Genomic DNA, 24,358 nt, shown 5'->3' on the forward strand with positions numbered 1-24,358 from the left:
CTAGCCATATGTAGAAAGCTGAAACTGGATCCCTTCCTTACACCTTATACAAAAATCAATACAAGATGGATTAAAGACTTAAACGTTAGACCTAAAACCATAAAAACCCTAGAAGAAAACCTAGGCGTCACCATTCAGGACATAGGCATGGGCAAGGACTTCATGTCTAAAACACCAAAAGCAATGGCAACAAAAGCCAAAATTGACAAATGGGATCTAATTAAACAAAAGAGCTTCTGCACAGCAAAAGAAACTACCATCAGAGTGAACAGGCAACCTACAAAATGGGAGAAAATTTTCGCAACCTACTCATCTGACAAAGGGCTAATATCCAGAATCTACAAAGAACTCAAACAAATTTACAAGAAAAAAACAAACAACCCCATCAACAAGTGGGCGGAGGATATGAACAGACACTTCTCAAAAGAAGACATTTATGCAGCCAAAAAACACATGAAAAAATGCTCACCATCACTGGCCATCAGAGAAATGCAAATCAAAACCACAATGAGATACCATCTCACAGCAGTTAGAATGGCAATCATTAAAAAGTCAGGAAACAACAGGTGCTGGAGAGGATGTGGAGAAATAGGAACACTTTTACACTGTTGGTGGGACTGTCAACTAGTTCAACCATTGTGGAAGTCAGTGTGGCGATTCCTCGGGGATCTACAACTAGAAATACCATTTGACCCAGCCATCCCATTACTGGGTATATACCCAAAGGACTATAAATCATGCTGCTATAAAGACACATGCACACGTATGTTTATTGCGGCACTATTCACAATAGCAAAGACTTGGAACCAACCCAAATGTCCAACAATGATAGACTGGATTAAGAAAATGTGGCACATATACACCATGGAATACTATGCAGCCGTAAAAAATGATGAGTTCATGTCCTTTGTAGGGACATGGATGAAATTGGAAATCATCATTCTCAGTAAACTATTGCAAGAACAAAAAACCAAACACCGCGTATTCTCACGCATAGGTGGGAATTGAACAATGAGAACACATGGATACAGGAAGGGGAACATCACATTCTGGGGACTGTTGTGGGGTGGAGGGAGGAGGGAGGGATAGCACTGGGAGATATACCTAATGCTAGATGACGAGTTAGTGGGTGCAGCGCACCAGCATGGCACATGTATACATATGTAACTAACCTGCACATTGTGCACATGTACCCTAAAGCTTAAAGTATAATAATAATAAATAAATAAATAAAAATAAAATAAAGTTACAAAATGTTTAAATTATAAAGTCAATAAATATATATTGTAACAAAAAAAAAGAAAGATAGCATCGATAGTGTGATGGCAACAGGAACAAAGAGAAGTAGATTGGGCATAGGAAGACAAGATTGGTGACAGACTGGATGTGGAGAACAAAGGAGAGATCATTCTCCCTCATCTGATGACTACTAGCTTTCTAATCTAGGTTAGATAGTAGTACTACACAATGGTATAGGAAATACTGAAAACAAGCCAGATTCGTTAAAGAGATACGTGATCCTGGGCAAGCTACTGAATATCTCTGAGCAACAGTTTTTATTAAATGGGGTTAATTATACCCTGTTGAGAGACAATTATAAGTATTATGGTATGAAAAGGATCTGGCACCTAGCAAGTCCTCAAAAATTTGTAGTTATTACTATTTTCTCCCAGATTCTCCCAAGATTGTGTTCTCAAATGAGGCAATTTTGCTTCCTGCCCCTTATTTGGGACATCTGGCAATATCTGGAGACATTTCTGGCTGTCACAACTTAGGGTGAGAGGGGTTGCTATTGGTATTTGCTGGCCAGAGGCCAGGGATGCTACTAAATCTTCTATGGTTCACAGACAGTCCTTCTACAACAAAGACTTAACCAGCCCAAAATATCAATAGCGCTAAGGCTGTGAAGCCATGTTCAAGAGGGATTCTGATTCTGATAACTGCACATGAAAAGTTCTTTTGTATCCACTAATAACAACCATCCACATGAGTTAGGGAGTTAAACTGATTTACTACTGATAACCTGTTCAATCAGTTTCCAAATTCAAGCCTGGTTACAGAAGTTGTTACCAGAAGTGAATTCATAACCTACATTTTAAACATACAAAAATATTAATGTCTTCTAACCATGAAAGCTAATTTGTTTTCCCATTTTGATGTCTGCATAAAGAAAAACCTGAAATACTACAAATTAACTGTCATTTTATTAAGAATCAGATACTCAGCCGGGCGCGGTGGCTCACGCCTGTAATCCCAGCACTTTGGGAGGCCGAGGCAGGTGGATCACGAGCTCAGGAGATTGAGACCATCCTGGCTAACACAGTGAAACCCCATCTCTACTAAAAATACAAAAAAAATTAGCCGGGCATGGTTGCAGGCCCCTATAGTCCCAGCTATTCGGGAGGCTGAGGCAGGAGAATGGCCTGAGCTTGCAGTGAGCTGAGATCGTACCACTGCCCTCCAACCTGGGCGACAGAGCGAGACACCGTCTCAAAAAAAAAAAAAAAAAAAAAAAAAATCAGATACTAAGATCCTTGAATAAAAACTCTATGAAAACTAGAGGCTTATTTTAGTGTCATTATATAGAAAAAAAATGGTTTGCAATGAATCTATTTAATAAGTGCTGCATTATTACACAAGGATTACCAACAATGAAAAATAGACTGCAGTCTAATTCTTACAAAACCATTTCAAATTTTATGACAATGTTTATTAAATCAAAATTTTAATCAAAACTGTGAAACTATCCTTCAAGCTCCAAGCCCTTAAATCCATTGGAAATAGATGAATTCATTGATTAAATATAAACTTCATATCATTTTGGACTCTATGGATAGTGAAGCTATTAAACCACTATGCTCAACTGTCAACAATTTAAACTTTGATTAAAATCTGAGAGAACTGTCCAAAAGACCTCATAAAATCTCACCAGGGTCAAGAACTGGGACCTGATCACAACTGATACCACTTCACACCAAGGATAGCTTTTACAAAAAACAAAACAAAATAAAAAAAAATAAGTGTTGGCAAGAATGTGGAGACACTGTTGGAACCTATGTGCATTCCTAGTGGGAGTGTAAAATTGTTCAAACTGTGGGAAATAGTTTGGTGGTTCCTCAAAAAGTCAAACATAGGGTTACCATATGGTCTAGCAATTCCATGTCTAGATATTAATATATACCCAAACAAATTGAAAGCAGAGACTTGCACACCAATGTTCCTAAGAGCATTATTCACACAGCCAAAAGATGGAAGCAACCCAAGTGTCCATGAACAAATGAATGGAGTTTTTAAATGTGTTATATACATATAATAGAGTTATTCAGCCTTAAAAAGCAATGAAATTCTGAAACATGCTAAATACTTGCAAAACTTGAAAACATTATGTTAAGCGAAATAAATCAGATACAAAAGGACAAGTATTATATGATTCTACTTATCATTAATTACCTAGAACAGGCAAATTCACAGAGACAGAAAGAGGTGACCAGGGGGCTGGGGTAAATGGAAGTGAGCAGGACAGTGGGAAGGAGAACTACTGTTTAATGGGTATAGAGCTTCTGTCTGAGATAATGAAAAAATGTTCTGGAAATGGATAGTGGTGATGGTTGCAAAATATTTCAATTTATTAATACTTAATGCCACTGAATTGTATACTGTAAATGGTTAAAATGGTAAATTTTATGTTATGTATATTTTGCCATAAAAAACCCAACTAGGACCTGAACGAAAAAACATTAAATAAATTCTTCTTATGATCCCACCTTCCTCCCACTCCCATCACCTATAGGTGAGGTTCAGAAAAACAAAAATTATTTTGTTCAGCAGCCTGAACTGGATTCAAGCTTACATCTTTTGGAAAATGAATAAACTAAGTCAATATTTATCTTATTCGGTTCTACAAAAAGGCAAAATATCACGTTATTATTTTATGACATACAAATTTCAAATTTCCTTTAGGGGATATCACAGGAACATATAAATGATTTCATACTCTTGGATTTGGCCTCTTGCAAAGATAATTTCACTGTGTATCTATTAAAGTCTATGAGAATGAAAATGACCAAGGGGCTGCTGCAATAAGCTGGCAATTTCAATATTCCTTACCTTATTCTAATCATACATTTAAGAATGGTATATCACTTAATCTCTCAAAATCTGATATTAGTAGTTTACTGAGAATAAAAAAGTAGAGGATTTCAAGTGTATATTATTAGAGAAACATGTAATATATATCCTAAAGACTACTTCCGGGGAAAATATATTAAGCCTTAAGTGTTACAAACAAGAGAAAATAAATCAGTAAAAATACAAACACTTTATTAGACAATAAAATCATCTTTTTTTAATAACTTAAGGTAAAATCCTAATTACTGGAGTCTTTTTTTCTCTCCCTTATCATTCCCCTCTTACACCTTTCATTTTTCCTCCCCTCCGGCCCATGTTTAATGGTCTATTAGTACAAAAAGGATAAAATTACTGCCCACAGTCTCAACAAAATTAATGAGGAAAGATGTATATAGATCTCTTGAAGATGTGCCTGAGTTTACGTTGCCAAGGTAACACTGACGTCTTAAATTTTAAATGGAAGAGTTTATATTTAAAGAATGCTGGAGTCAATAGAATGTATTTTAAGAAAGAGCAAAGCATACACAGCTTATTATTCCCAAATAGCAATAAACGATACATGGAAATTGGACAAAGACAATTAAATTTAGGCAACAGTCAACAACTATCCATTAACATGAGTCATTTGAATGACAGTACTGTTTAATGTGGACTGAAAAGTAAAGCTGAAGCTTCTGGTGCTGGCTTTTGCAACTCATTAGCTGTGGGGACTAGGAAAGTTACTTAGCCTTGCGTTAAGTCATTTAATTCTCTCAAAGTCTCAGTTCCCTCAGCTGTAAGATGTGAAAGGTGAAACAAGATTAGTAAGGTCCCTTTCCAAATCTAAAATTCTTTGGCTCTATGATTTCGAAGGAAGAAATTTCTTTATCCAAAATAAGTTACTATATACCTATTATGTTCTAGAACATAATAAAGTAACATAACATAGTAAACATACTGGCACATCTATGGTAAGAAAATTAGACCAACATACACTTCTGTGGTGTTATGATATGCGTTGGTTTTCATTCACAGTTCCTGATTCATAACTCCCATAGCTATTGTTACAGTCTTGTATTACAATGTTGGGTATCTCAAGCCTCAGAGGCAGGCCTCAGGAAACAGAGTCTCTCTCCTGCCCTCCTTTCACCTGCCCCAAGGCAGGACTCTAATCTTCTCCTACCTTTTTTATTGTGGGTCTTAAGACCATCCCCAGAGAGGGTCACACCCTATGCAATGGGGGAAGGAATACTGAAGTCAAAAAGCCTTCATAAAAACCCAAGAGGACTGGGTTCAGAGAGTTTCTGGATACCTGAACACGTAGAGGTTCCTGGAGGGTGGCACTCCCAGGGATGGCAAGGAAGCGTGCTCTGCACCCCCATACCTCGCCCTACGCGTCTCTTCACCTATATCCTTTATGATAACCTTTATAATAAACCAGTAAATGTAATTTAAGTGTTTCCCTGAATTCTGTGAGCTGTTCCAGCAAATTAATCGTACCCGAAGTGGGGGGGTCATGTGAACCCCAACTTGAAGCTGGGTGGTCAGAAGTTCTGGAAGCCCAGACTTGTGACTGGTACCAGTCTGGGCATCTGGAGGACAGACTTGGGGACTGAGACCCCAACCTGTGGAATCAGACACTATCTCCAGGTAGACAGTGTTGGAACTGAATTAGAGGACATCTTGCCAGTGTCCACTGCTCGGTGCGTGGAGAAAAAAACCCACACATTTGGTCACAGAAGTCTTCTGTGCTGATGACTGTGATTTAAGAGTAGAGGAAAAACACACTTTAAAAGAGAGTTTTTCTCTACACATCTTTTTCAGGGTATTTTGTATTCCCCTCTTTTCATTAATTATGTAGTACATATTCAAAAAAACTGAAAAATATAGAAAGGATAAAAAAACCAAGAATCATAATTCCCCTATACAAACACAATTAAGTTCATATTTGTCATGAGATACCTTTCTTGGTTTTGTTATAAGAAAGATATTCTATTAAAGATTTAATGGTAAAATACAACTGGAAAGAACATAAATATAACCTGAATTTTGGAAATGCAAGAAAAGAATGGGCAATAAAAATTAAATAAACAAATATAAGGTACTAATAAAAAGTAAAATACACATCAACAGCAAAAGGCAATAGGGCAGATCTGAATACTGAGCCCAGGTAGTATCAGATTTCTGTTCAACATGAAATCTTTCCTGTGCCCCCAGTTTAAATTGGGTCACCCAGGTGTTACTTCCAAAAGACTTTTCACTTGTCTGTCACAGTTCTTTGTACATCCAAGATTACTGAACTATTTTTCATAGCTATTTATTTAGTGCTTCCTTTTCCCCACTAGCCTAATAAGCTCCATAAAGTCAAGGATCATTTCTTCTTCATGTGCCAGTGTGTCCCCAGTAGAACACCTCATACACTGAATGAGTTCAATTAACATTTGTCGACTAAATAAATAAGCAGACTCTTGTTTTATAAATTTATATCAACTATTCCTGACTAGCTACTTTTCCCAAGGCCCAAGATCCATTTTCAGGGAAACTACTAAGTAAGAGACATACAGGTTGAATATCACTTATCCAAAATGCTTGGAACCAGAAGTGTTTCAGATTTTGAATTGTTTTGGATTTTAAAATGTTTACATATACATTCCATCTTGGGGATGGGACCTAAGTCTAAATTTGAAATTCATTTATGATTCATACATACCTAATACATATAGCCTGAAGGTAATTTTATACAACGTTTTAAATAGTACATGCAACAAAGTTTGTGTATTCTGAACCATCAAAAAGCAAATGTGTCATTATTTTGGTGCCCAACAAATTTTGAATTTTAATGCATTTCAGATTTCTAATTTTTGGATGAGGTATGTTCAACCTGTATCTAAATTCAAATACATTTGCATTGAAGATTTTATATCCTAGTCCAGGGATTGAAAAACTACAACTTCCAAGCCACATCAGGCCATCCATATGTTTTTGTAAATAAAGTTTTGTTGGAATATAGTCAAACCCATTCATTTACATACTGTGTATGGCTGCTTTTGTGCTACAACAGCAGTGCTGGTAATTGCAACAGAAAGCTAAAAATATTTACTGTCTGGCCCTTTACAAGAAAAGTTTGCCAACCTCTGTTTAATGACTTTAAACTAATGACTTTAAACTAATAATAAAAAGAAACATAAAAAGTTTGCCAACCTCTAATGACTTTAAACTAGACTAATCATTTTTAACTAATAATAAAAAGAAACATAGGATAATGAGCTTTTGGAGTCATTCATGAAACTATTTGACATAACTAAACTATATACCAGCAATATTACTATCAAAAATTCAATAACTTAGCTACTTTAGTTCATAAACTTTTAAGAGTGAAAGGATTAGGCACAGTATTCTTAGAAATGGCCAACACTTCAAATACTTTCTTTTTTTTATAGGCTTTTAGTAACGCCTCAAATTTTTAGCAGAGCTGATTTTAATCATTAAACATACAAAACAAATTGCTACTCTGCTGTAATTATCAGGCAGGATGAACTAAAAATCCCAATGTGAAATCAGCATTTCCATAGCAACCTGTACTTCCATTGGCCCCACTGCACATAGGTAGGAACTGGCATTGCTTTGCATATTTAGAAAAAACACCTCCATTAAATAATACAAAAAAAAAACAATTTGCTTGAATAAAAATAACACATTTGTCAAGATATTAATACAACACTACTACAAATTCAATAATATATAAATTGATCAAAATTTTTTTTAAAAGTCTGGACTGAATGTGTATCAGCTGCACATTCAATAATTTATCTAAACGTCAATTTATCTAAACGTCAATTAAAAAAATCAAAGATGTAAAATGTTTAGGGAAAGTAATGAAGATGCAATTATTGCCAAATCAGCTAATATTAAATAAGCAATCCTATACAATACAGTAACCCCCCTTTACCTGTGGTTTTACTTCCTGTGGCTGCAGTTACCTGCAGTCAACTGTGGTTTGAAAATATTACATGGAAAATTTCAGAAATAAACAATTCATAAGTTTTAGATTGTATGGCATTCTGAGTAGTGTGATGAAATATGCTGTTCTACTCCATCCCCCCCAGGGGACATGAATCAGCCCTTTGTCCAGCACAACCATGCTGTGTATGCTACCTGTCTGTCTATTTAGTTATTCAGTAGCTATTTCAGTTATGACTGACTGTTGCAGCATAAGAGAGTTTGTGTTCAAGTAACCCTTATTTTACTTAATAATAGCCTGAAACTGCGAGAGTAGCAATGCTGGCATATTGCTATACTTGTATTTTATGATTATTGTGGTTAATCTCTTACTATGTCTATCAATTATACTTTATAAGTTAAAATTTATCATAGGTATGTATGAATAGGAAAAAACATAGCATATATAGGGGTTTGGTACCATCCACAGTTTCAGACATCCACCTAAACTCAAGTGATCATCCCACCTCAGCTTCCTGCATAGCTGAAACTACAGATAAGTACCACCATACCCAGCTGATTTTTTATTTTTTGTAGAGATAGGGGTCTCACTTTGTTGCCCAGACAGGTCTTGAACTCCTGGCCTCAAGTAATCCTCCCACCTTGGCCTCCCAAAGTGCTGGGATTACAGGTGTGAGCCGCCACTCCTGTTCATTTTTCTACTACCAAATTTAAGAACCTACCTACATCTGTATACTAATACTCTGCCTTTCCTCCTTATATAATTGATGGATGGTAATCAGCTCCTTTCTAAGGTCAATTCTTCCCAAATTCACTCTTGAACACAACATAATCATGCTTTTTTCCTTATTGGACCAAGAAAAACCCATAGTTATTAAAGTCACCAGAAACCTCTACACTGCCAAATCCAGTGACCATTTCCCATCTTCAAAGATTTTCCTCACCTCTTAGAAGCAGCTGACACAGTCATTCACAGCCTCCTCCCTGTCTCCTGAAACACCACACCCTTGGTTTTCCTTCTGCCTCACTGGCTGCACTTCTTAGTTTTATTTGCTGAATCCTTTCTGTCCTCTCCAGGACAGTCTTCAGACTCTCCTCATTAATAATTTCTTTGATCTCATTGCTTTAAATACTATTTAAATGCTAACACAGGGCTAGGCGCAGTGGCTCATGCCTGTAATCCCAGCACTTTGGGAGTCTGAGATGGGCGGATCACGAGGTCAAGAGACAGAGACCATCCTGGCCAACATGGTGAAACCCCGTCTCTACTAAAAACACAAAAATTAGCTGGGCATGGTGGTGCGTGCCTATAGTCCCAGCTACTCAGGAGGCTTAGGCAGGAGAATCGCTTGAACCCAGAAGGCGGAGGTTGCAATGAGTTGGGATTGAGCCACTGCACTCCAGCCTGGTGACAGAGCGAGACCCCGTCTCAAAAAAAAAAAAAGGCTAATGCATCCAAATCTATATGGGAGAACCAGCATCTACCCAGAACTCCAGGGGCAGTCACCCTACACTACCATGTGACCGGGCATTTCATACTTCACACATCCATAACAGTATTCTTGATTTCCCACTCCCCCAAAATTTGTCCCTCCTGCAATTTTTCCCATTTCAATATACAGCACCAGCAATGCCCTGTATCCTGACACTTTTCACCAGTTTTACCACTGTAATCCATCCATGGCTCTATCTGAACTAATATAATACTCTCCTTCTAAGTGATCTCCTGCTTCCACTAATGCCTCTCTACACTGCCTTCTCAAAAGAGCAGCCAGAAAAATTCTGTCAAAATATAAACCAAATCATGACACAGCCTTGCTAAAAACAAAACAAAACAAAACAAAACAAAAAACAAAAAAAACCTTCAAATGGCTCCCCATCATTAAAACAAATATGAAAGTTATCCATGGCCTGTAAGACACTACCTCAGCAGTCCCCAACCTTTTTGGCACCAAGGACCAGTTTTGTGGAAGACAATTTTTCCACAGACAGGGTGGCAGGGCAGTGGTGGGGGTGGGGGTGCTTTCAGGATGAAACTATTACACCTCAGATCAACAGGAATTAGATTCTTGTAAGGGGGTGTGTAACCTAGATCCCTCACATGTCTAATTCACAATAGGGTTCATGCTCCTATGAGAATCTTGTCGCTGATCTGACAGAAGGTGGAGATCAGACAATAATGCCGACTGGCCCGCTCCGCTCACCTCTTGCTGTGCGGCCCAGTTCCAAATAGGCCACAGACCAGTACCCATCCATGGCCCAGGGATATGGGCCCCCTGCCTTACGTAATCTGACTTATGTCTCCTATCTCATCTCAACTTCTCTTTCTCTTCCTCCCTCTACTACCAGTCACACTTGTCTTTTTGCAGTCTCTTGATGTTCTTCAAGCTTGTCTCTGCTTCAGATCCTTTGCTGTTTCTTCTACTTGAAATAATCTTCCCTCAGATATTCACAAGGACCTCTCACTCACTTTTTTCAGTCTGATGAAACATCACCTATATGGAAAGACTTTCCCTCAGCAACACTCTGTTGAAAATATCATCGCAGCTCCTTCTACTTTGCTTCATTTTCTACAAAACTATTTTCAATTTTATAATATATTGTTACATAGTTTATATATTTGTTCACTTTCTCATCCACTAGAAATATAAGCGCCTGAGGGCACAAACTTTGACTTAATTGCTTCTCTGTATCCCCCAACTAAAATGGTATCTGACACTAATTAAGTCTTCAATAATAACTGTTGAACTGACAAATGGCTATACAATTTTTTTTTTTTGAGACGGAGTCTTGCTCTGTCGTCCAGGCTGGAATGCAGTGGCACGATCTCAGGTCACCACAAGCTCCACCTCCCGGGTTCCAGGGATTCTCCTGCCTCAACCTCCCGAGTAGATGGGACTACAAGTGCGTGCCACCATGCCTGGCTAATTTTGTATTTTTAGTAGAGACGGGGATTCACTATGTTGGCCAGGCTGGTCTCGAACTCCTGACCTCATGATCTGCCTGCCTAGGCCCCCCAAATTGCTGGGATTACAGGGTTGAGCCACCACGCCCGGCACTATTACAATTTTTAAGAAGGATTTTTCTTTAACTTGAATGGTTTATGGTTCATAAACTTGAACGGTTTATAAGATTACTAAAACTATTTAATTCAGACTTCATATACAGAGGTACCACTTCTGAAAAGGAAACTCTAATAAAAACATGTCTTCCTTCTTTCTGCATTAAAATTCCAGACCCTAGGAAATTTCTGGCATTTTTTCCAAAATAAACAGAGGTAAAATTATCTTAATGGGCTAAATATAAGATCTCATGAAACTCTTGCTGATAGGTACAAAAGCCATTTCCATTTAAACTCTATTTTACTTTATTGCCCTCTTCCCCAACACAACATACACATACAGATACCTTGGTTACTTTATCTTAGTTTTCATTAAGTTTAATTTTTTTACCAGGTAACATACTTACGTACTTATGTGAATATTAAAAGTTAAAAAATAAAAGATTGTAAGTCTGAAAAGATATACAGTGAAAGGTCTCCCCATCCCTTGCCTATATCTCAGTGACTCAGTTCAAACTCCCACTACCAAAAAGTAACCATTGTTATTATAGGGTGGAAGTTGGCCATTTTTTTCTGTAAAAAGCCACACAGAAAATATTTGCAGCTTTATGGACTATCCACTCTCTGTCACAACTACTCAATTCAGCCATTATAGAGTGAAGGCAGCCTTAGATAATATGTAAATGCATGTGTATAGCAGTTCTTCAATACAACTTTATTTGCAAATATAGACAGTAGGCTGAATTTTTCCCATAGGGGTCACAGTTTGCCAAAACCTGTTACAGAACAGTTTAAATACCAGTGTCTCTTTTATAAAAAATGTTAATGGTAGTGTTTGGAAGAGACTTCAATGGAAGAAACTGCAACAAAGAATGCTATTTGAAACAAAAATTCATCCTACCCATAATGACGTGTTAAAATAATATATATTTTCATATAAATAGATGTAAGATTATTCCCAGATGCCTCTCCATAATCCATAATATATTAGTGCAAATATTTTCTTCTACCTCTTCATGGCACAATTATGAAGAACTGGAGGAACGTTAAGACAAGACGGAGTGGTAACCTAACTATCAGCGCACTGTCAATCATTAACTCTGGCTTAACATTTTCTCTTAAATGGTAGAGGAAATGTATAATTAAAATCTCCACAGAATGCATTAAAGAAATAAACCACAGTCTATATTTAAAAACAAACAACATTTCAACTGTATGTTTCTCAACCAGATCAATTCCAAAATGCATGTTTCTAATAAGTCTTACAAAGGATTTAATTTAATAAAATGAATCAAGATTAGAGAGAACCAGATCTCTCCAAAAAGCAGATCACTGTTACACTGAATAATCAGCTTCTCAAAATTCAGAGGTATCCTAGGAATATATCTTACCTTAGATGCCATTCTCATAAAGAGCTTGTTTTGATTTTCTGCTGTTCCCATCTTTTCATTTTTGACTAAATCATTTAGGCTTAGATTATCATCATCATGAAAGTATCTGACCCTTTCTCTTTCCTCATGGGTTGAAACCTATGACAAAATGAACATTATTAATTTAATGAAAACATGAGTCTCTGAAGTATTTCTTGATGGATTACATAAATATCTGATGTTAAATGTAAAAATCCCACTATGTAATCACAACCTTTCCTTCCAGTTTATCCCTAGTCTGCCAGTTTCCATGTGAAAAAACTTCCATTAGAATTACACTCCCTACTTCTACCTCTTTACTCTCCTCTTCCCCAGGGATGGAAGCATGATATGATCTGCTTTCTGAGCTTTGATGAAAGAGCAAAACTGCTCTACCCCTTCTTCTCTCTTTTCTGCTCTTCTTCTCCTTATAGTTAAAATTCCTTACCACTGTGGTGGGAAGACTGAAGTCATCCAGAAATGGAGTAAGTATATCAAAAACAGAGATGAAGTATTAGCAAATCCACTACTATGAATTTAATGATTATGTTGCCCCAAAATTCACATGTTGAAATCTCAGTATGAAGGTATTAAGATGCAAGGTCTTTGGGAGGTAACTGGGCTATGAGCATGAAGTACTCAGAAATGGGATCAGAACCTGTGATGGTTAATACTGAGTGTCAACTTGATTGGACTGAAGGATGCAAAGTATTCTTCCTGGGTGTGTCTGTGAGGGTGTTGCTAAAGGAGATTAACATTTGAGTTAGTGGACTGGGAAAGGCAGACCCACCCTCAGTGTGGGTGGGAACCATCTAATCAGCTGCCAGCGAGTCAGAGATGTTGAAATGACTTGACTTGCTGAGTCTTCTGGCCTTCATCTTTCTCCCATGCTGGATGCTTCCTGCCCTCAAACATCAGACTCCAAGTTCTTCAGTTTTCGGATTCTTGGACTTACACCAGTGGTTTGCCAGGGATTCTCGGGCCTTCAGCCACAGACCGAAGGCTGCACTGTCAGCTTCCCTACTTTTGAGGTTTTGGGACTTGGACTGGCTTCCTTGCTCCTCAGCTTGCAGACGGCCTATGTAGGACTTTACCTTGTCATTGTGTGAGCCAACACTCCTTAATAAACTCCCCTTCATATATACATCTATCCTCTTAATTCTGTCCCTCTAGGGAACCCTAATACAGTACCTCTATTAAAAGACATGAGCATTTGTTCTCTCTCTCTTTTTTCTCTGCCATTTGAGGATACAAGAAGACTATCATCTACAAACCCGTAAGCGTGCCCTCATCAGACAATGAAGCTGCCATTCCAAGTCCTAATCTTGGACTTCTCAGTCTCCAGAACTGTGAGAAATAAATTTCTATTGTTTAAGCCATCCAGTCTATGTTACAGTAGCCTGAACTAAGAGACCAACTTCTAATTATTAAACCCTTGTTCTGTAAACAGCTTTATCAAAAGCAAAGCTGATATTCTGGTCTCCATCTAATTCAGTCCCAGATTTTCCTATCAGTTGGTTCCATACCCAGGTGTGCAACAGAAAAATACTGTTTATTTCCTCTCAAATCAAATCTTTCCAATGCTGCTCTCACATTCCCTTATCCAAATAAAACCTTGTCTTTAACTTCTTTGAGATCTTTGGAACAGGGGTGCAACTACATTTTCCAACATTATTATTCTTTTCTTTACTAGCTTAAACCTCATATCCCATGACTCCAATCACCCCCTGGCTCCAGACACTTAATTTCTGGCCCTCTTGTCTTTTCATTATACTCAAAGAGCAAACTCTACTCATGAATGAAAGCGTCTACCTTCTTTACTCCTATACCTAGATTGCTCAGTAATATGCAACTCAAAAAGGGCCCTCAATGCCTTCTGACAATGCATTTATGGATCCCTAGTCAGTTCCACCATTTCATATAAATCAGACCTTTACTATTCTCCTCCTGCACCTCCTCTCCAACCACCAAATTCCTCCCATTACATTAGAAGACATATCCATCCCACTTCTATTTGTTGGATGAATTAATTAGAATCTCTAGCAACATAGGCACTCAACAGGCAAAAAATAAACATTTGACAGAAATATTCTGAATGAACAGTTCTTTTGTATATGCAATTATCACTTGTCTGATCTTCCAAATTTAAAATAAAAAAAACTAACTTGAGAAAGCTGAATATGTTGTTTTTGCCAGCTCAAGAGCCTCAAGGTAGTGCTAAAAACTAATTACTAGAGTTGGAAAATGGAAAAGAAAATTAGTTTTATAAAGGATCATGGCACCTACATAATTAAGCCATTACTGTGTATGGATACCCCATCACCAGGTCTCAAGTTAGCTGTCTAACACTAGTAACAGCTCTGAGAGACCAAAGTTTTCCCTAAGAGCTATAGCAAGTATGCCAAAAGCAGCTGAAAACAACATCAAAGAAATGTACACTAAAATTAAAATTGCCTTAAACATTCAATGTTAACAACTATTTGAAAAAATAGTTGGATTAGTTTCCATTCTGTAAAAGGCAAAGAGATATAACTAAGAATAAAAGTAGTAACAACATCATTTCCTACCTTCCAATATTGGCATTCAAAAGCCACATTTCAGAAAATATTTTATAATCTGATACAAAGAAAGCCCCAAGGGGAAGAAGGAATTCTGAATTAATAAACAAAGACATATGTTAAACATACCATCTGTCTCTTTCTTCTTCCTCCTTGTGATTCCAGAGATTTTCCGGGTGTGTTCACAGGCCATACTCTTCCAGACTGATCTGTTCTGACAAGGATTACTTCTTGCTGGTCTTCATTCTATAAAAAGATTTAGAGATAACTATTGAAATTATTGTGAAGAATGTTGAATGTTTTTATTTAATAACAAAAAAAGCATTAAAATGATTAACGTTTCCACATAACGTTGTGGATTGCCTTAAATCTCCTGGATTTTCATTACTCTCTATACTATAAAATGAACATAATCTTTTGGGGAAAGGGTAAAAAATACCCAATGTTTATTTTAGTATTTTTAAAAAAGCAATCAAGAGAAGAAAATTTCAAATAAAATTTTCATCTAGACAATATTAAAAGATGACGAAGTATCAATAGTCCATGTGCCCATCACTTATGCAGTAGATGTAATGTTTTTTAAATTTAAAGATCCTATTAAAATCTGATTATAAGAAATAAAACAACTAAAGACAAACTTGCTAAATTAGCAAATATAATGATACTACCCGTAACTTCTATTCTTTCTATTAATAGCCTTCAAATGCTTTTCAGTTTTCTGACTCTTCAGAAGGAATTATATCCCACACACTTTCAAGCCATATTTTTCTTACAAACTTTTGGCCAAATATAAACCTGGCACAGTACAGAATAAGAGTAAACTTTATTCTCTAATGGAAATGGAATGTTATTGGAAGGATTCTAATAATCATTAAAGAATATTAGAGAATGACAAAGGAAAAGAAATTGTTATATCAAAAAGACACCTGCACTTGTATGTTTATCCCAGCACTATTCACACAATTGCCAAGTCATGGAATCAACTGAAGTGTCCACTAATGGATGATTGAAAAGAGAAAATGTGGTGTATACATGCCATGGAATACTACACAATCACACAAAAAACAGAAATGTCTTTCACAGCAGCATGGATGGAGCTAGAGGCAATTATCCTAAGTGAAATAACTCAGGAAATCAAATACTGCATGTTCTCACTTAACAGTGGGAACTAAACAATGGGTACACATGGACATAAAGAGGGAAATAATAGACACTGTAGTCTCCAAAAGCAGGGAGGATGGAAAGGGAGTAATGGCTGAAAAAATTACCTATTGGGAACAATTTTTATTATTCAGGTGATGGGTAGAAGCCCAAACCTCACCATTATGCAATATATCCCTGTAAAAAACCTGCATATGCAACCCCTGAATCTATTTTTTAAAAATTAAAAACAAAAATAATATTAAGGAATAATCATTAAAAATCCATTTGAAACAAGACCAAGCAAAATATTCACATTATAGTTTTCTTCTCAATTGGAATCAACTATAGAAAAAATCAATCCCAATTCCATTTAATAGATGTTAGTTCCCCTGCTGAAATGGAAGAAAAATAATATATACCTATTATTGATCTTACATTCACACACAATACTAAATTGATATAAAAGATTATCATTACTTTTCTTCCTCAATAAATAAACGAACATTAATGAAGTGCCATCTTTTAAAAGATCTTTCTACTCACTCCCTTACCAGATAGTAGAGATAGGCAACACATTATAAGCTGGCATCTAACTTTACCACACTGATAAAGCTGGTCTCCCTAAGGACTTTCAAAATACTAAGTCCAATACATAATTATTAAATTGTCATCTTCCCTGATTTGAAAGCATTTGGTTCTGTTTATTACATTCTCTAGCCTGAAATTCTTCTTATTTCAGTTTTAAACACTCTACTCTCTCCTGGTTCTGCCTTTACCTCTCTGACACATTCATTCATTATTCATTCATTCATCAAATATTTCTGAAATATCTATTTAATCTTAGGAGTTAAAAGAAATCTAACACCTGCCTTGTATAAGCTTATGGCCTAGTGGGGAAACTACTCCCCACATGAATTATTAATATAAACAAAGTCACCTTCACTTTCTCCTTCATTTCCAGCTACCCCTCAAATGCTGATGATTCCAGGGTTCCTTGGTTTCCAGCCCTTCAGCCTGAAACCTAATCATCACCCATATTGCAAAAAAAATTCACCGTGTTAAAAACAAATATAATCATGCTATTCTTTGCTTAAAAATCTGCAGGGAACATTTATCACCAGAACATCAATACCACTGCAAGTATGGCCCACAGACCATCCCAAGTCCAATAATTACTAGACATTAAATATTTGTTACTAATCCATGATGAGGTAAGTATAGAAACTGAGTGTTTTATAGCAATTGTATAGAACTGATATGGTTTGCCTCCATGTCCCCACCCAAATCTCATCTTGTAGCTCCCATAATTTCCACGTGTTGTAGGAGGGACCCGGTGGGAGATGACTGAATCATGGGGGCAGGTCTTTCCTGTGCTGTTCTCGTGATAGTGAATGGATCTCATGAGATCTGACAGTTTTAAAAACGGGAATTTCTCCACACAAGCTCTCTCTTTCCCTGCTGCCATCCACGTAAGATGTGACTTGCTCCTCCTTGCCTTCAGCCATGACTGTGAGGCCTCCCCAGCCATGTGGAACTGTAAGTCCAATTAAACCTCTTTCTTTTGTAAATTGCCCAGTTTCGGGTATGTCTTTATCAGCAGCATGAAAACAGACAAATACAAGAATCACTTTATGTTGGTTCAACCTAAATAAAAACTTGGGACTTTATTTCATTTATCTTTATTTCATTTTTCTATGATTATTTTTTATTGTATTTTATAAAACTATTAATCCATCATGGTCTGTAAAATTTTAAAATATATATAAACAACCCTGATCCTACACCATAGTCTAAATAGTGAAATAAAGGTAAAGCATTTTCACACAGTATACAAAGCCTTCAAATTCTGGCCCTAGATTTTTCTAGTTCCTTGTAATTTTTGTAAACGTACTGTAAATTTTATTTCTTCTGCGTGGAACAATTATCCCTTCTTGCTCAACTAGGAAATTGAGAATTTAGTCACAGCCAATGCTCTGTTCCCAATAATTTTTGGCACATGTATGTTACTAGACTGTAATATTTTCAGTAACTATTTGTCTATATTTATCTCTTTTTGCAGGACAAAGACTAAGCTATACACTACTGGTACCTATAGGACCTGTCACAGTGTCAAACAATAATGGGAATTCAATAAATGCTTGATAAATGTTATTACAAGCTGGCACCTCAGACAGATTAATTGTATCCCAAAACTAACCCACTTTCCCCTTCAGTGAGCTCTTTCCTCCCTTTGCCAACTTTCTGTTCCTTAGGACTGCCAATACGTAAGACCCCAAGTTGCTCCATTTTGGGTACGCAAGACAGAGTGCATCTAACCACCTACATGGCATTAAAATACGAGACAGAAATGAAAAGTTCACTCTACACAGAAAATATGCAAAAACATTTTCATTATCCATGTAATTTTGTAATTTATCTCAAAAGAAACCAGAAACACTTCTTGATATAACTAAAAAGCATTTATAAACTCTTTCCATTTTCATAAGAATGCCAAATGCTCCAGGTTTTTAAATTATCCCCAACAATTACAGTTTGCTCTGGAGGACTTTTTATTTTAAAAACATCAAAACTGATAATTTGTTAAAGCATTTTATAAGGACACTTTAATTAACAAATCCCAAAATGCTCTGGGATCATTTACTCATTAATCCATAAAAGAACCTTCTGGCTGACAAAAATCATGGATTCTTATTTTAAAGGAAGAAAGGAGAAAACAAAACACTTTATATAAAGCTACAAAATCAGTTTGCTAACATAACCAGAATAAACCTTCCCTGTTGGTATCTATAGTATTTGTGAGATAATAAATTTCTCCCACAAGTGCATATCATTTTTATAGTAATAAAAATTGAGGATTCAAGAGACCGTGGCAGACACAAGGCAAGACTAGATTGTAGCTCTGGACAGAGCAGCATGCAGGGGCTTGCATTGTGGATTTTAGCTCCAGATTGACTGTAAGAACAAACCAGCAATCCCGAGAGGACCCACAGACCCTCTCTGAAGGAAGCAGACTGCTACTCCTGCAGGACCCAGGAGACACCCCAAATACTGTGAGTCCCCCAACTGTGGAAGTGGGAACACACTTCCTCCCGAACATACCCCCCAACTGGAGAAGTTGAAGGTCTGTTTGCAGGAGAAGTTTTCGACTTTACTTGGAGTTGAGTCAAGTTAGGGGGCCAAGTGAAATACAGGGGTAGAGGAAGGAGCAGAAAGGCCCTGGGATCTCGCTGGGTCCCCAAACAGCCCGTTCCTGCCTGGCACCACAGGGATCCAACAGGAGGGTGGCCAGAGGAGCAGGGAGTAAAACTCCACAGGGAAAAGGAATTATCTAGCGGAACTTTGTAACAATTTGAACAGGGTGAGAAACCTCCTGGCCAGAACTCAAGGGAGGGCACAAATCCTGCGTACAGACTTCACAGGCAGGGTAAGAACTAAAGCCCTTTTCTCTCGCAGCTGGAAGGCAGATATCCTCAGGTATGTTTTCAAGCCCACCTTGCCCTCAGCCTGGAAACAGACTCCACGCTGTTGGTGGGGGCACAGTGAGAGTGAGACTGGCCCTTCAGTTTGCATGGGAGCTGGGTGAGGCCTGTGACTGCCAGCTTTCCCCCACTTCCCTGACAACCTGCATGACTCAGCAGAGGCAGCCATAATCCTAATAATAGGTAACACAACTCTAGTGACCTGGGAATCTCATCCCATCCCCCACAGCAGCCCCAGCAAGACGCGCCCACGGAGAGTCTGAGCTCAGGCAGGCCTAGCCCCGCCCCCACCTGATGATCCTTCCCAATCCACTCTGGTAGTGGAAGACAAAGGGCATACAACCTTGGGAGTTCTAGGGCCTCACCCACCACCAGTCTCTCTCCACCCTACTACAGCTGATGCTCTCTGGAAAGTGCCACCTCCTGGCAGGAGGCCAACCAGCACAAAAATGGAGAATTAAACCACCAAAGCTAAGAACCCTCACGGAGTTCACTGCACCCTCTGTCACATCCACCAGAACAAGCAGCTGGTATCCATAGCTGAGAGACCCATAGACAGTTCACATCACAGGACTCTGTGAAAACCCCCCGTACCAGCCCATAGCCAGGTAAACTTGCTGGGTGGCTAGACCCAGAAGACAGACAACAAACACTGCAGTCGGGTTCACAGGAAGCCACATCCATAGGAAAAGGCGGAGATTATTACATCAAGGGAATACCCCATGGGACAAAAGAATCTAAACAATAGCCTTCAAATAGCCTTCAGCCCTAGACCTTCCCTTTGACACAGCCTACCCAAATGAGAAGGAACCAGAAAACCAACCCTGGTAATATGACAAAACAAGGCTCTTCAACGCCTCCCAAAAATCACACTAGTTCGCCAGCAATGGATCCAAACCAAGAAGAAATCCCTGATTTCTAACCTGAAAAAGAATTCAGGAAATTAGTTATTAAGCTAATCAGGGAGGGACCAGAGAAAGGCAAAGCCCAATGCAAGAAAATCTGAAACATGATACAAGACGTGAAGGAAAAAATATTCAAGGAAATAGATAGCTTAAAGAAAACACAATTAAAAATTCAGGAAACTTTGGACACACTTTTAGAAATGCAAAATGCTGTGGAAAGTCTCAACAACAAAATTGAACAAGTAGAAAAAAGAAATCCAGAGCTTGAAGACAAGGTCTTCAAATTAACCCAATCCAACTAAGACAAAGACAAAAAACTAAGAAAATATGAACAAAGGCTCCAAGAAGTCTGGGATTATGTTAATCAACCAAACCTAAGAATAATCGGTATACCTGAGGAAGAAGAGAATTCTAAAAGCCCGGAAAACATATTTGGTGGAATAATCAAGGAAAACTTTCCCAGCCTTGTGAGAGACGTAGACAGCCAAATACAAGAAGCACAAAGAATACCTGGGAAATTCATCACAAAAACATCTTTGCCTAGGCACACTGTCATCAGGTTATCCCAAGTTAAGATGAAGGAAAGAATCTTAAGAGCTGTGAGACAGAAGCACCAGGTAACCTATAAAGGAAAACCCATCAGATCAACAGCAGATTTCTCAGCGGAAACCCTATAAGCTAGAAGGGATTGGGGACCTATCTTCAGCCTCCTCAAACAAAACATTTATCAGCCAAGAATTTTGTATCCAGCAAAACTAAGCATGATATATGAAGGAAAGACACAGTTGTTTTCAGACACACAAACACTGACTGAGAGAATTCGCCATTACCAAACCACCACCTTTTGCATGGTTTTGAAGGTTCCTTTTGCTAAAAGGAGCTCTAAATCTTGAAACAAATCTTTTACACCAAAACAGAACCTCTTTAAAGCATAAATTACACAGGACCTATAAAACAAAAAATACAAGTTAAAAGGCAAAAACAAAAACAAAAGTACACAGGCAACAAAGAGCATAAGAAAAGTAACGGTACCTCACCTTTCAATGCTAACATCGAATGAATGTAAATGGCCTAAATGCTCCACTTAAAAGATACGGAATCACAGAATGGATAAGAACTCACCAACCAACTATGTGCCACCTTCAGGAAACTCACCTAACACATAAGGACTTACATAAACTTAAAATAAAGGGATGGAAAAAGGCATTTCACACAAATGGACACCAAAAGTGAGGAGGAGTAGCTATTCTTATATCAGACAAAACAAACTTTAAAGCAACGGCAGTTAAAAGAGACAAAGAGGGACAGTATATAATGGTAAAAGGCCTTGTCCAACAGGAAAATATCACAATCCTAAACATATATGTGCCTAACACTGGTGCTCCCAAATTTATAAAACAATAGACCTAAGAAATTAGATAGACAGCAAAAAAGTAAAAGTGGGGGACTTCAATACTCCACTGATAGCCCTAGATAGGTCATCAAGACAGAAAGTCAACAAAGAAACAACGAATTTAAACTATACCTTGGAACAAATGGATTTAACAGATATATACAGGACATTTCATCCAGCAACTGCAGCATACACATTCTATTCAACAGCACATGGAACTTTCTCCAAGATAGACCATTTGATAGGCCATAAAATGAGCCTAGATAAATTTAAGAAAATTGAAACTATATCAAGCACTCTTTCAGACCACAGTGGAATAAAACTGGAAATTAACTCCAAAAGGAACCTTCAAAACGATCCAAATATAGGGAAATTAAATAACCTGCTCCTGAATGAGCACTGGGTCAAAAACAAAATCAAGATAGAAATTTAAAAAATTCTTTGAACTGAAAGACGGTAATGACACAACCTATCAAAACCTCTGGGATACAGCAAAGGCAGTGCTAAGAGAAAAGTTCATAGCCCTAAACGCCTATATCAAAAGTCTGAAAGTGCACAAACTGACATTCTAAGGTCACACCTCAAGGAACCAGAGAAAAAAGAACAAACCAAACCCAAACCCAGCAGAAAAAATGAAATAACCAAGATCAGAGCAGAACTAAATGAAATTGAAAAAAACAAACCAACCACAAAAGATAAATGAAATAAAAAGCTGGTTCTTCAAAAAGATAAATAAAATTGATACACTATTAGCAATATTAACCAAGAAGAGAGAAAATCCAAATAACCTTACTAAGAAACAAAAAAAGAGATATTACAATTAACACCACTGAAATACAAAAGATCATTCAAAGCTACTATGAACACTTTTATGTACATAAACTAGAAAACCTAGAAGAGATGGATAAATTCCTGGAAGAATACAACCCTCCTAGCTTAAATCAGGAAGAATTAGACACCCTGAACAGACCAATAACAAGCAGTGAGACTGAAATGGTAATTTAAAAATTAACAACAAAAAAAAGTCCAGGACCAGAAGGATTCACAGATGAATTCTACCAGACATTCAAAGAAGAATTGGTACCAATCCTTTTGACACTATTTCACAAGATAGAGAAAGAAGGAACCCTCCCTAATTCATTCTGTGAAGCCAGCATCACCCTAATACCAAAACCAGGAAAGGACATAGCCAAAAAAGAAAACTACAGACTGATATCCTTGATGAACACAGATGTTAAAATCCTTAACAAAATACTAGCTAACCGAATCCAATGACATATCAAAAAGATAATCCACCATGATCAAGTGGGTTTTATACCAGGGATGTAGGGATGGTTTAACATACACAAGTCAATAAATGTGATACACCACATAAAGAGAATTAAAAACAAAAATCACATGATCATCTCAATAGATGCAGAAAAAGCATTTGACAAAATCCAGCATCCCTATATTATTAAAACTCTCAGCAAAATCAACATACAAGGGACATACCTTAATGTAATAAAGGCCATCTATGACAAACCCACAGCCAACATAATACTGAATGGTGAAAAGTTGAAAGCATTCTCTCTGAGAACTGGAGCAAGACAAGGATGCTCACTCTCACCACTCCTCTTCAACACAGTACTGGAAGCCCTAGCCAGAGCAATCAGACAAGAGAAAGAAACAAAGGGCATCCAAATTGGTAAAGAGGAAGTCAAACTGTCACTGTTTGCTGACGATATGATTGTTTACCTTGAAAACCCTAAGGACTCCTCCAGAAAGCTTCTAGAACTGATAAAAGAATGCAGCAAAGTTTCTGGATACAAGATTAATGTACCACAAATCAGTAGCTCTTCTACACACCAACAGCGAACAAGCAGAGAATCAAATCAAGAACTCAACCCCTGTTACAATAGCTGCAAAAATAAAAATAAAAATAAAAATAAAATACTTAGGAATATACCTAACAAAAGAGTCAAAAGGCCTCTACAAGGAAAACTACAAAACACTGCTGAAAGAAATCACAGACGACACAAACAAATAGAATCACATCCCTTGCTCATGGGTGAGTAGAATCAATATTGTGAAAATGACCATACTGCCAAAAGCAATCTACAAATTCAACACAATCCCCATCAGAATACCACCATCACTCTTCACAGAATTAGAAAAAAACAATTCTAAAATTCATAGAAACTAAAAAATGGCCCACATAGCCAAAGCAAGGCTAAGAAAAAGAACAAATCTGGAAGCATCACACTACCTGATTTCAAACTATACTATAAGGCCATAGTCACCAAAACAGCATGGTACTGGTATAAAAATAGGCATATGGACCAATGTAACAGAATAGAGAAC

The 24,358-nt window shown here is 37.4% G+C and overlaps 1 protein-coding gene across 3 annotated transcripts in view, besides 3 other annotated features; it reads right to left on the bottom strand.

The window, feature by feature from the left end:
• The window catches only part of CWF19L2 (CWF19 like cell cycle control factor 2), a 131,466-nt gene that overhangs the window by 51,195 nt on the left and 55,913 nt on the right, over window positions 1-24,358 (bottom strand). For all 3 annotated transcript variants that reach the window (XR_007062452.1, NM_152434.3, XM_047426419.1), the window contains 2 exons: window positions 15,225-15,341; window positions 12,520-12,657 (listed from right to left, as the gene is read on the bottom strand). Coding sequence is in view for 2 of the 3 variants with exons in the window: in NM_152434.3 (NP_689647.2) it covers window positions 12,520-12,657; window positions 15,225-15,341 (255 nt within the window). In the remaining variant the exon portion in view is untranslated. The remainder of the gene's footprint in view (window positions 1-12,519; window positions 12,658-15,224; window positions 15,342-24,358) is intronic.
• Window positions 19,120-19,906: an enhancer, noted in NCBI's record as "NANOG-H3K27ac-H3K4me1 hESC enhancer chr11:107267400-107268186 (GRCh37/hg19 assembly coordinates)". NCBI's record gives its function as "activates a minimal SCP1, AML or CMV promoter by ChIP-STARR-seq in naive H9 embryonic stem cells {active_cell/tissue: H9 hESC(naive)}" and the evidence as "EXISTENCE:reporter gene assay evidence [ECO:0000049][PMID:30033119]".
• Window positions 19,120-20,480: a biological region, named in NCBI's record as "MED14-independent group 3 enhancer GRCh37_chr11:107267561-107268760".
• Window positions 19,281-20,480: an enhancer, noted in NCBI's record as "MED14-independent group 3 enhancer chr11:107267561-107268760 (GRCh37/hg19 assembly coordinates)". NCBI's record gives its function as "activates an origin of replication core promoter dependent on BRD2, BRD4, P300/CBP and CDK7 cofactors, and independent of MED14, by STARR-seq in HCT116 cells {active_cell/tissue: HCT116}" and the evidence as "EXISTENCE:reporter gene assay evidence [ECO:0000049][PMID:35650434]".

Source organism: Homo sapiens, chromosome 11 (assembly GCF_000001405.40).
Source record: "Homo sapiens chromosome 11, GRCh38.p14 Primary Assembly".
Lineage (NCBI taxonomy): Eukaryota > Metazoa > Chordata > Mammalia > Primates > Hominidae > Homo > Homo sapiens.